Below are 13,949 nucleotides of genomic sequence, written 5' to 3'. Positions count from 1 at the left end.
GGAAAAGCATGATTGTGTTTTGAAATGTGAGGACATGAGACTTGGGAGGGGACAGAGGCAGAATAATATGGTTTGGCTGTGTCCCCACCCAAATTCCATCTTGAATTGTAGTTCCCATAATTCTCACATGTGGTGGGAGGGACCCAGTGGGAGGTAATTTAATCATGGGGGCAGTTCCTCCATGCTGTTCTTATGATAGTGAGTGAGTTCTCACGAGATCTGATAGCTTTATAAGGGGCTTTTACCCCTTTGCTCAGGACTTCTCCTTCCTGCCACCATGCGAAGAAGGATGTGTTTGCTTCCCCTTCCACCATAATTGTAAGTTTCTTGAGGCCTCCCTGGCTATTCTGAACTGTGAGTCAATTAAACCTCTTTCCTTTATAAATTACCTAGTCTCAGATGTGTCTTTATTAACAGCATGAGAATGGACTAATACAAAGATCTAATACTAATTCTACTTTCAAACCATTCCAAAAAATAGAGGAGAAGGCAATACTTCTACACTTATTTTCTGAGTCCAGTATTACCCCGATTCCAAAACCAGACAAGGACACATCAAAAAAAGAAAACTACAGGCCAATATCTCTGCTGAACATTGATCCAAAAATCCTCAACAGAATATAAGCAAACTGAATCCAACAACACATTAAAAAGAATATTCATCATGACCACTGAAATTTATTCAGGGATGCAAGAATGGTTCAACATATGCAAATCAATCAATGTGATACATCATATCAACAGAATTAAGAATAAAAACCATATGAACATTTCAACTGGTGCTGATAAAATTCAACATCACTTCTTGATAAAAACCTTCAAAAAACTGGGTGTAGAAACAACATACTCCAATGCAGTGAAAGCTGACATATGACAGACACATAGCTAGTACCATACTAAAAGGGAAAAAACTGAAAGCCTTTCCTCTAAGATTTGGAACAGGAGAAGGATGCCCACTTTCACCACTGTAATTCATCATAGTACTGGAAGTCCTAGCTAGAGCAATCAAACAGGAGAAATAAATAAAGGGGATTCAAATTGGAAAGGAAGGAGTCAACTTGTTGTTTGCAGATGATATGATCTTATATTTGGTAAAATCTAAAGCCTCCACCAAAAAACCATTAAAACTGATAAACAAATTCAGTAAAGTTGTAGGATACAAAATCAACATACAAAAATCAGTAGCATTTTTATATGCCAACAGCAAACATTCTGAAAAAGAAATCAAGAAAGTAACCTCATTTACAATAGCTACAAATAAATACCTAGGAATTAAACTGAACCAAAGAAGTGAAGATCTCTACAATGAAAACTATGAAACATTGATGAAAGAAATGGAAGAAGACACCAAAAATTGGAAAGATATTCCATGTTTATGGATTAGAAGAATCAATATTGTTTAAATGTCTACACTACCCAAAGAAATTGACAAATTCAATGCAATCTCTATCAAAATACCAATGACATTCTTAACAGAAATAGAAAAAAATCCTAAAGTTTATATGGAACCACAAAAGAACCAGAAGAGCCAAAGCCATCCTGAGCAAAAAGAACAAAACAGCAGGCATCACATTACCTGACTTCAAATTATACTACAGAGCTATAGTAACCAAAACTGCATGGTGGTGGCATAAAAACAGACACATAGACCGATGGAATAGAATCGAGAACTAGGAAATAAATCTATACATCTACAGTGAACTCACTTTTAATAAAGGTGCCAAGAATATACATTAGGATAAAACCAGTCTTAAAAAATGTTGCTGGGCAACTCAATATCCACTTGCAGAAGAATGAAACTAGACCCCTGTCTCTCACCATATTAAAAAATCAAATCAAAATGGATTAAAAACTTAAATCTAAAACTTCAAACTATTAAACTACTAGAAGAAAACACTGCAAAAACTTCAGGACATTGGAGTGAGCAAAGATTTCTTGAGTAATACCCCAGAAGCGCAGGCAACCAAAGCAAAATGGACAAATGGGATCACATTACATTAAAAAGCTTTTGTACAGCAGAGAAGACAATCAACAAAGTGAAGAGACAACCCACAGAATGGGAGAAAATATTTGCAAATTACCCATCCGACAAGGGATTAATAAGCTGAATATATAAGGAGCTCAAACAACTCTATAGGAAAAAATCAAATAATCTGAGTTAAAAAGGGCAAAAGATCTGAATAGAGATTTCTTAAAAGGAGACCTACAAATGGCAAACAGTATATGAAAAAGTGCTTAATATCATTATCAGAGAAATGCAAATCAAAACTACAATGAAATATCATCTCATCCCAGCTAAAATGGCTTTTATCTGAAAATCAGCCAATAACAAATGCTGGCTAGGATGTGGAGAAAAGGAAACCTTCGTATGCTGTTGATGAGAATGTAAATTAGCACAACCACTACGAAGAACAACTTGGAGGTTCCTCAGAAATTTAAAAATAGAGCTACCATACCATCCAGCAACACCCTGCTGGGCACATACCCAAAAGAAAAGAAATCAGTCTCTCTAAAGAATGAGATCCTGTTATTTGCACAGCAACATGGATGGAACTGAAGGTCACTATATTAAGTGAAATAAGACAGCACAGAAAGACAAATGTTGCATGTTCTCACTTATTTCTGGGAGCTGAAAATTAAAACAATTGAACTCATGGAGATAGAGAGTAGAAGGATGGTTACCAGAGCCTGAGAAGGGTAGTGGGGGTGGGAGTGGGAAATGGGGATGGTTTATGGGTACAAAAATATTGTTAGAAAGAATGAATAAGACCTAGTATTTTCTAGCACAACAAGGTGACTATAGTCAAAAATAATTTAATTGTATATTTTAAAAATAACTAAAAGAGTATAATTGGATTGTTTGTAACACAAAGGATAAATGCTTGTGGTGATGAATATCCCATTTACCCTGATGCAATTATTACTTGCTGTATGCCTGTATCAAAATATCCCATGTAACCCATAAATATATACACCTACTATGTACCCACAAAAATTAAAAATTAAAAAAAATTTAAATGAAATAATGCAGGTGGCATCCAGCTATTTGACTTTCCACATGAAGAAGCTGAATAGCAAATTAGGTCAAACTAAGGCTATTAGTACATTTTTGGTGTCTATACCTTTAAAATGGTATTATTGGGCTGGAAGGAGAGTTGCTCTGTTATAAAACCTAGAGTGACTTTATAACAATGATTTGTTTACCTGGGACACATGAGCAAGGCTGGTGCATGCATTCCTGGTCTAGGTACCTGTGCCACAGGTGAATTGAAGGATGTCAGTTATAGACACGTCACCAGAGACTCATAGGCCTTGTTCAACATCTTAGAAGTGTACCCAACTGCTTGGATTATCTCTAGACAAGCTCTGGGTAAGCAGTCAGATCCCAGGCTACCAAAATTCTCTCCACTTTAGTAGAGATAAAAAAGGATAGATTTAGCCAAGATGTCTAAGTTAGACATACCCCCAGTAGTGTTCAGAACCATTCTGTGTTTGGGTGCGGAATGTTAGGTTTCCTGCAGATGCCCATGTATTTCTTCCACTTTCCATTGAAGGTGGGACAATAGAAATACCATGTTTTCCAATTATCTCAAGAACTCATATTACTCATAAATGATAGAAATTGCATAATAAGAGTTACAATTACTTTAGATTACTCTCATACAAATTCTGCAGTTTGGAATAGGGCCAGTCCTGGGGGGGTAGAAGACAACAAGGAGGGTTGGGAGGGTTATGAAAAGCAGAGCCTGTGTGAGAGAGAAAATGTCTCTTGCAGAACCTCTGCAAATTAGCCCTCAAGGGCTGCTACCTCCTGGAGGCAGTAAGCTTGATCCTCTCTTGGGACCATATTTTTCAGGGACAGTGAGTAGACAGTGGCCATAAACTAGACCTAGCAAATGGCATGACGAAGGAAAGAGAGATATACAGCAAATTCTCTGAGCCCTCTCCTTTAGGGCACCTGGAACACTGATCATTCAGGCCAGTGATGGAATTTTAGATCCCAGGAGACAGAAGTTAAGGCAATGCATTCTGATTCCAGAGGGCCAGAGATCTCATTATTAGATAATACACAGGGATTTGGATGGCAATAAATAGCAGTATGGCCAGGGGACTCAGGAACACCTGAATTATGCCTTGACAAATATTCCTTCCCTTCCCTGTCATCACTGGGTCTTCATTCCTGCTTCCTTGACCTGGCTTCCTAACATGTGGCCAGGACATGACACCAGCCAGGGCCTGGCCTTTCAGTTCCTTGAGCCCCACATCTCCAATGACATCCTCCTGCTCACTTAGCACCTCTCCAATGGTCATCCTATACTTTGTCACTACCCAGGGCTGTTCCAGCTGAAGAATAAAATATTCAGATACCACACTCTGTGACCACACCCTTTTGTCTTTCAAGTTTGTTCCTTCTTGACAGTCCCCTGCCATCAAACACTTTTTCTTGAAAATCACCATCCACCAACCCCTCTTCTTTTCATTTCTTTTCTTCCCTTCCCAACTGAGGGGCAATGAGGCACCATTTTAGCCTTTTATCAATATTTTAAACTTCTTTGCCCCTTATGACCCTTCATTATATCCACCTAATAAAATCCCAGCCTTAAATGAATCAGGAATCTGCTGTTTCATGTTAGCAGAACTCTAGAAAAATACCCATAAAATTAAGCAGATTGGTACCACTATAAATTTGTGGTTACCAATTTCAGCAGGGCCCTCAACTCTGACTTTCTGAAAATTATAAATTTATTTAGTAAGATTGTTTTTATATTTACTACATTTTCAACCCTTGTCTATCTTTCTTGAAATGCAAAGTTTCCTACTTTTTCCCTCTCTCTGAGGAAGTGCTCTTATTTCTAGCTCAGTGGGAAAACAGAAGCCATTATAAAGGATGCCTGTTATATAGCCAGACAGCCCCCATACCCATTCTTTCCTTTTTCCCCCTCCTATAAAATCGAGATGTCCATCATCCAATCTGAGGTTATTTTCTCCCAACTCAGCCCCAAATCTCATCCCCTATGGCTTTATCAGGAAAAACGTACACTGCTTACTCTCCCATCCCAGTCTCCCCTATCCCACCTGTCCTGTCTATTGTAGTCAACTTATCCCTTAACCTGATGTCCTGCTCCAGCTACTGCCTACTCCCTGTCTTTCCTTTCTTTAGCAGCCAAATATATCATTGTTAGTTTTAAAAATTATTAAAATTATACTACTGTTTTCTATTATTCCAAAGATAAAAATTAAAATTACTATTATTACATTATATATCATCTATGTTATATGTATAAATATGCTCAGGTTACAAATAGAATGCAAGATTATAAAGTGTCAAATAAATTCTTGGCCTTCCTAACCATTCTTCAAATACATACCCCAGAGATCATCACTATGAGATTATGTAAACAGTATACTTAGATATGTAAGAATTTCTTACACAAATGGGATCATATGATACATGCTGTTCTGAAACAAGCATTTTTCATTTTATACATTTTAGGTATCTTTCCACATCAGTGCATGCAAATCTACCTCATTTTTTCATGACTACATTTCATTTTAGTGGGTTTTTATTGTTCACAGCACTATGCTCAGTGTCTGGCACAGAGTAGGTTCTCTATGAACACTTGGTGGATTAGTAAATTCCAGTGTTTGTAAGCACATCGTATTTAAACCAGTCCCCTGTTGGTAAATGTTTGGGTTGTCTTAAGTTTGTTGCTATTACAAATCAACTTGGCCATGCCCTCTCAGCTGCATCCCCTGTCCTCACATCCTTTTGACTCCCCCTGCCTGTGTTCCTATATCTATGTCTTACCTGTTCCTTTATTGTCTGTTACCATAGGCTCTTCTTCCTGTACTGATTAGCTGAGAAACTGTCCTTGATTGCTAATCACAAGAAATCCAAAAGTAATGAGCATATGTGATTATGCAAGTTTTGCAGGAAATCTCTGTAGTTGCAGTGTGTTAGTCATTAGTGTGGTTCCTCAATGATTCTGATTCTTCTCCTTCCAGGCACATGATAGTGTTGTTCTTCCCTCTTCCTTTTATAGCTCCGTTAAAGTGATTTGCTTTTGGCAGTAAAATGTAAAGTTATGAAGAGCCATGGGATTTTCATATTCCTTCCCCCGAAGCAGAGGCTGTGTGGGTCGCAGGGCAGATCCCAACCCTGCTCCCCAGCAACCCAAGATAGACATGTAGTGTTAACAGGAAATAAAGCTTTATTTATTTATTTATTTATTTATTTATTTTTATTTTTTTATTTTATTTTTATTTATTTATTTATTTATTTATTTTTTTGAGATGGAGTCTTGGTCTGTCACCCAGGCTGGAGTGCAGTGGTGTGATCTTGGCTCACTGCAAGCTCTGCCTCTGGGGTTCATGCCATTCTCCTGCCTCAGCCTCCCCAGTAGCTGGGACTACAGGCACCCACCACCACACCTGGCTAATTTTTTGTATTTTTAGTAAAGGCGGGGTTTCACCATGTTAGCCAGGATGGTCTCGACCTCCTGACCTCGTGATCTGCCCTCCTTGGCCTCCCAAAGTGCTGGGATTACAGGCCTGAGCCACCCTGCCTGGCCAATAACGCTTTATTTTTAAAGCCACTGAGATTTGGGGGTTGTTTGCCATGACAATAAACTTAGTTTTTCCCAACTAATACACTCACAGGGTAGGACCACATCACAAAAGAAGGCATCCTGTGGGGTCCCTCATTCATTCCCCACCCCCCAGGGCTCAGCATGTATATGAACCTTGTACGACCCTTCCTGTCCACATCTGCTCTGAATGACTTCTCCTGAGAAAAAATTTCTCTATCCATTGCTACCTTCTTCTGAAAAAGGATTTTGTTACCCCAACAAATCTGTTATACAATGGCTTTCAGAGAATCTGGAATAAGGCAATTATAAAAGTTATTTTGAAACATACCCTCATTTCCCATATTGCCCCCACTGTGAACCAGTTTTCTGGGGCATTGCATGGAAGGTCCCAGACACCTGTCTTGTTTCCTGCTTCCTTGTTTGGTCTGATTCATTAGAACTGTGGAGGAAATCCTCTTTCTCACCTTTGGAGCCCCTCCCTGACTCATATAAGAGAGAAGCTCCCGGCTGGGTGCGGTGGCTCACACCTGTAATCCCAGAACTTTGGGAGGCCGAGGCGGGCGGATCACGAGGTCAGGAGATCAAGACCACCCTGGCTAACACGGTGAAACCCCATCTGTACTAAAAATACAAAAACAAACAAACAAACAAAAAAAATTAGCCGGGTATGGTGGCGGGTGCCTGTAGTCCCAGCTACTCGGGAGGCTGAGGCAGGAGAATGGCGTGGATCTGGGAGGTGGAGCTTGCAGTGAGCCGAGATTGGGCCACTGCACTCCAGCCTGGGTGACAGAGCGAGACTCTGTCTCAAAAAAAAAAAAAAAAAAAGAAAAAAAGAGAAGCTCCCTGACATCAGAGTGTCTGTAGCAGCATTAGGAAAACAAGCCTCTCTCACACTCCTTTCTATCCTCAGTCAAGTTCTCCATCTCTTCCTAGAAGATTTCTGTCAGCTTTTCTTGAGAACAGTCTACCACAAAGGCTACACTTACTATCACCTCGACAAAACAACAAAAAGTGAACTATTTCACATGTCAAAACCTAGATCAGTTCTTCGTAAGTTGAACCTGTCACACATGTAATGAGCCCTGCAAGACGCCTGGGACTGATAATTTGGGTGCCATTGCAGTTCTTTCTCTACCTTAGCCTATCAAATTGCAAGCAAAGTAGAAGGAAGTTTTTGTTTGGCTTTGCTGCAAAACAATCCCAACATACCATAACATAAAACAACTATTTTTATTGAAAAGGAATTTAGAATGTATTTTGAAGTGAATGAAATTGAAAGTACAACATATTAAAATTTGTGGAATGCCACATGGCAGTTCTCAGAAATTTATGGCAGCAAAGTGTTTATTAGAAAGGAAACAAAGGTCTAAGCCAATTACCTTGGTTTTCATCTTAAGAAACTGGAAAGAAGAGCCAATTAAACCCAAAGTAAGCAGAAGAAATAAAGATCCATGCAGAAAGCAATGAAATAGCAAAGAAAAACGGTAGAGCAAATCAATAAAACAAAAAGCTAATTATCTGAGAAATCAAAAAATATTTATAAAACCTATAGACAGACTGAGCAGGAAGAAAAAAGAGAGAAATGTGAATTATTAATCTCAGGAATGAGAAAAGGAGAAAAGTGGCATTACTACAGATTTTACAGATATTAAAATGTGATAATAAATCAGAATATTAAAAATTAGTAAGGTAAGTAATCCTATATGTTTGTGTGACAATGGAGACAAAATAACTCTTCTACACAGCAAAATTAATTGATACTGCATCTACTTTCTAGGGCATATATACAACAGAAAACCTCAAGCAGTTTTATAAAGAGACATATACAAGGATACTCATCACAAAGTCATTTATAGTAAAGGGAAGCTGGAGGCAACCTAGGTGTTCATCCCAAGGGGAATGGATAAACAAAATATGGAGGATGCATGTATTAGAATACTATGTAGTACTTGGGAGCAAGGAAGGTGAAAAGCATATACACATTCACAATCTGTGTGCACACTAAACGTCATGTATCACACACATTAGAGTAGGTACCTATGGGAGTGGAGAGAGGAAAATGGGGAATGGCAGTCAAGAGATAAGGGAAGAAAGCAGAGAAGGGTTTTTACCTTGACCAAGGATAATAGCCTCTTATGAACTAAGGAATATGATTTACTAAACTCTGCACTGATGTCTAGAGAGAGAGAGAATCACATGAACACTGTTATGTAACTCTTCACCCTTCACAACCACTGAGATATAATAAAATGGAAAAGAAAAACTGTAGGGAGTGAACTTGTATAGAGCACTGACATTATATGACATAGACATTCAAATGAAAATTAGGTCAAACTGATTTTATTAGGTAATTATTTACTTCAGTTAGCCTGCCAAATTCAGAAAAGTAAAATCTTCAGCTGAATTACACTGATATAAATTAATAATTTCACATTCTAAGGTCACATGTGTATTAGCAAGTTTTGCCAAAGTTATTTATTGCCATAAATAATGATACTTAAATGGAGTTGATAAACTGAGGTTTTCTCTCAAGAACTGTATAGAAAAGCAAATCCTTTCTCCATCTTCTTGGGAATAGAGGTATGGTATATTTAAATGATTTTCTCCTTGTCTCTCTCTTGCTTCAGTTTTTCCATCTGTAGAGACAGTTTATGTAACTGTAGGGCCACTATTGAGACCCTGTGACCTGGGAGACGGTGTAAGAGGGTTTTGCCTGCCATGACTATGTCACAGCCTTCAGAGACTTTCTGAAAGAGGAAATCAAAATGAAATGAAATGAAATGAATGGAAAGAGGAAATCAAAGCTTTTCAGGAAGGCTTGTGACAGGAGGATTAGAAGGTAAGGAATGACCCCAGGATGCATGGGCAGGAAACTCCAGAAAAATACTTTGGATCCTAGCAAAATATTTCCCTGAGAGTTGAATCTATATCTGTTCTTAGGCAATAATCAGAATCAGTACAAGCAAAGAGGAGGCTTAAGCTGCAGGGGGATCCAGTTCTACTAATTCACCAGAAAACCACATCAAATAATAGAGAAATACTGAGGCCCAGGGCCAGGGCAACTGTTTAATAAGACTCTGCTGACTTCCTGTAAAACAAATGCAATAAACTTTGCTACCACCACGGATTTATCACAATGCTTCAGGGTAGAAAGAACCAGTACCTGTAAACACCTTATAAATTAACCGCAACAACTGAGACCATCCTTTAGGAGATATTACTACTTTTCCCATTTTATGAACCATCCCATTTTCCTATCATTTATTTTGAGGTATCATATATAAAATTCATTGAATGCATATTATTTATCCTCTTGCACTTGTACACATCCAGACTCCAAGATTTGTTCTCTGAGCAAAAGACACTCTGGGAGCCAAACATCCAATAGCCAGGGTCATATTGGTGGTGACAGTTTCAAGACTGGTATACCAATTCTTCTCCACAGACAGCTTTGCATTTAATATTTCTGGTTTTAGGTACAGAGCTGTAGTCAAAACACATTACCTTAGCATCTTATGAACCTCAGAAAAAACACATTTGGACACTGATAATTAATAAAAGGGATAAGAAATCTTGCTGAATTTTGTCTTTTCTTTCTCCGCTACTCTTGATACCACTGCTATCACCACCCCATCACGTCAACCAGCATTACCACTAGCTGAGTGGTAGCTGTTATTTACTAGCTGATATTTACTGAACACTTGCTAGATGTCAGCCTACGTGTCAAGCGTATTACATGCATTATTTCATGTAAGCCTTCAGCAACCCTGTAGGAGCATATTTGCTGTAGAGATAAGGAAGCTGAGGGATGGAGAAGCTGAATCACACAGCACCTTTTAAGACGCAGAGCCAAGATGTGAACCCAGGGCATCTAATTCCAGTTTCTGAGCTCTCTCTTTCTATGCAACAGGACTTCTCTTCTTGCCTCGGTTTTCCCCTGTGTAAAATAAAAGCAGTGATGATGACTTAGCTCCTGGAATTGTTCTGGGTAAAATAATGTAAATAACCTTTTAAGAAATATTTTGCTTATTCTGTCATAACAGTCATTTGACCAACAGTGGGGTCAACCCCATAGGTCAACTATCTCACGAAAGGTTTTGGACTACATATAAACTGGGGAGTAATGGTGCTATTTCTTGGATATTTGAAATTGAACCATGACCCACCTCACTCAGACTCAAGCACTGACCCATGGCAACTGCCTCTGGCTGGGAGGAACACTTCCCTCCAAGTCACTTCTGAGCCACTCTGTAGTGGTTAGCTGCTCAGCACTATTTTGGCTGGGGAGTTTGGATTCCCGTTGCGTTGAGAAGCTAGAGATGAACAACCTGCAAACCTGCAGATGTTAGCTGCTCCAGTCAGAGCATATCCTTGCTTGCATTCACACTGCATTAGAGTGCTGAGTGAGGAATTCACTAATATTTTCATAGTGTCAGTGTGTAATCCGGGGAAGCGAATTGCAAACTTGGATAGTGAGAGAGACAGAGGGCAGAGGGGAGAAGGGGAGGAAGAGACGGAGAGGGAGGGAGAGAGAAAGAGGGTGTTTTCTTCTGATTCATTAAAGAAAGCAGCACAGAACTAAAGGGATTTATTGGAAGACTTTTATGCTTCCCAATCAATGCCATTGCCAATAAAATAACATGACATAATTCACAAAGGGGATGCCTTCCCTCACATTACCATGTGGCTAAGAATTAAGGAAAGTGGGTATGTGTATAAGTATTTGGAGGAAGCAGAATTGACTTCTCACCTTCTATAGAACTATTTCTTTCAATAATTTAAAATATTTTAAAAATGTAAGCCGGGCTCAGTGACTCATGCCTGTAATCCTAGCATTTTGGGAGGCCAAGGCAGGCAGATCACTTGAGGCCAGGAGTTGGAGACCAGCCTGGCCGACATGGTGAAACCCCATCTTTACTAAAATACAAAAATTACTCGGCATGGTGGCACTTGCCTGTAATTCCAGCTACTTGGGAGGCTGAGGCATGAGAATCACTTGAACCTGGGAGGCAGAGGTTGCAATGAGCTGAGATCCTACCACTGCACTCCAGCCTGGGTGGGCAACGGAGCGAGACCCTGTCTCTAAATAAATAAGTAAATAAAAACGTATGTATAAATGCTTACTATAATTTGTCAGGTAATGTTTTAACCATTTAACAAATATAAACTCCCCCAACAACCACATGAGATAGGCATTATTATTATCCTCATTTTACAAATGACAAAACAGAACCACAGAGAGGTAAATCTACTTGCCCAAAGTCACACAGCTAGTGAGGAGCAGTCAGTTTAGTTTTGCTCCACGTGGTCTGTGTTCTTTACAACTTGCTGCCTGTGCTACTTGAGGGCAATGAAGGACCTTTAGACATAAAGTCAGCAGCAGAGGAGACTTTTTTTTAACTGAAGTTATTTGAGAAGTGTTTTGTGATAAAGAGACATTGCCCTGTGAAAACTTGCAAGAACTGCACAAACTCAGAATCTGCAAGCACTTCCCTACGTACCAACCTCAACAATACCCTGTGTTTTGCATTTATAGAAAACAATTTGCAGTGGCTCACGCCTGTAATCCCAGCACTTTGGGAGGCTGAGGCGGGCAGATGACGAGGTCAGGAGATCGAGACCATCCTGGCTAACACGGTGAAACCCCGTCTCACTAAAAATACACTAAAATTAGCTGGGTTTGGTGGCGGGCGCCTGTAGTCCCAGCTACTCGGGAGGCTGAGGCAGGAGAATGGCGTGAACCCAGAAGGCGGAGCTTGCAGTGAGCTGAGATCATGCCACTGCACTCCAGCCTGGGCGACAGAGCGAGACTCTGTCTCAAAACAAACAAACAAACAAACAAAAATTTTAAGGAAAAAAATTTAAGTATTTGAATAATGAAAATTACTTACCAAACTGCAAAAATAAAACCTTGTATTTATATAATGTTTTATGGTTTACAGAGAACTTTTACACATACCTTATAAATGTAGGTTCTAGTTCGTTTTCTCAGAATTTGTGACAACAATAAAAATTTCACTTTTGCTTTCTGGATGGTAAAATGTGACAGCCAATTGTTAAACAAAAATACAGCAGGTGATAATGAACTCATTTAAGAGGTAAAGGAATTTTAAGCACTTTTGTATTTATATTTATATGTAAGGAAGCGAAGCTGCCTGCACTTCATCTTTATCTGTTTACTAGGGTAGATCCCCAGGAATATACACAAACCAAGTTTTTTTAATCCCCTAGTAATGGTATTAGCATATACTTAAAAGTATTAAAACTTAAAAAAATTGTAGTTAAACATTCCTTAAATAAAATGGAAGTTAATAAACAATTTATTATACCATTAATAAAATAATTAATTTGTTAATAAACAACATTAATAAAATAATTTATTATGCCTCCCACAAATTGGTGTAAATTACTACAATTTGACCATACTTATAAAATTCCTAACATGGAATAAATATCTTTGCAATTGATTGATGTAAACTACCTTCCTTTCATTGATTGTGCACTTTACCCAGGCTTTCCTGGGGCCCTGTGCACTAGGAATGCCTGGCTCACGGTGTAGGCTGGATAGGCATGAGATACAGGGATGGGAGGGTGGTTTGCTCCCTGACGCAGGCCTCATGGTACATGTTGACCTGCACTGACAGAAGCCCGAAGGTCACAGATTCCACCTAGAAACAACTAAAGGAAAGAGAGAGAACTAGCAGCAGCCTCTGCCAAACTGGAGGTCAGCTGTCCAATAGCCAGTAGCAGCTACACCCTGGGGCAAAGTCAGGTCAAGACCAAGCTCTGCATTAAGGAAGAGCTCAGGGCAAGAGGGTGGAATCAGGGTTCCTAGAATCAACTGAGTCAAAGGACACTCAAAACTTCAATTTTAGCATCAGGGGCTCTGATGCAAGGAGTAAGTAACCTTGTGGAACTCTGAAGCCATTTAGCAATAGAACCCTAATCTTTTCCTTACAGGATAGGAGCTGTACTTAAAAGAGATTGTTATCTAGGAATGTAAGTAATTCATTTTTGAGTGAAAAAACAAATAAGGGATGGAAAAAAAGGACTTTGGTTCAGAGTGGGCAGGCTCAGTCACCCTTAAAGCAAACCTTGAGTGTGATAAGTCTGAGTGTGAGATCCACTCGAGTCAGGAAATCACAGCGTGAGAGAAAGCCATCCTGAGCAGCACTGCCTACTTAGGACAAGGTGTGGCTTCAGTTATGAATTTGGACTGCCAACAGAAGGATGAAATTAAAAAACAAACAAAACAAAATTGATGAGGAAAGTTACATTTCCTTCCAAAAGTTCTAAAGCCTGAGGGGGAAAGAGAAATACGGAAAAAAAAAAAAAAAAACCTCAAGAATACAGACAGGC

At 39.2% G+C, this 13,949-nt stretch overlaps 2 long non-coding RNA genes across 3 annotated transcripts in view; one reads left to right on the top strand and one right to left on the bottom strand.

Moving 5' to 3' along the window:
* Positions 1-13,949, top strand: part of LOC107985251 (uncharacterized) — a 195,120-nt gene that overhangs the window by 67,170 nt on the left and 114,001 nt on the right. The gene's annotated exons all lie outside the window — the stretch shown is intronic.
* Positions 1-13,949, bottom strand: part of LINC02942 (long intergenic non-protein coding RNA 2942) — a 74,070-nt gene that overhangs the window by 59,222 nt on the left and 899 nt on the right. The window contains exon 2 of the long non-coding RNA NR_186170.1: positions 10,424-10,527. This is a non-coding gene — a long non-coding RNA (long intergenic non-protein coding RNA 2942). The remainder of the gene's footprint in view (positions 1-10,423; positions 10,528-13,949) is intronic.

Source organism: Homo sapiens, chromosome 1 (assembly GCF_000001405.40).
Source record: "Homo sapiens chromosome 1, GRCh38.p14 Primary Assembly".
NCBI lineage: Eukaryota > Metazoa > Chordata > Mammalia > Primates > Hominidae > Homo > Homo sapiens.
The sequence above is the reverse complement of the archived record's forward strand: the minus strand, read 5'-3'. Positions and strand labels throughout refer to the sequence as shown.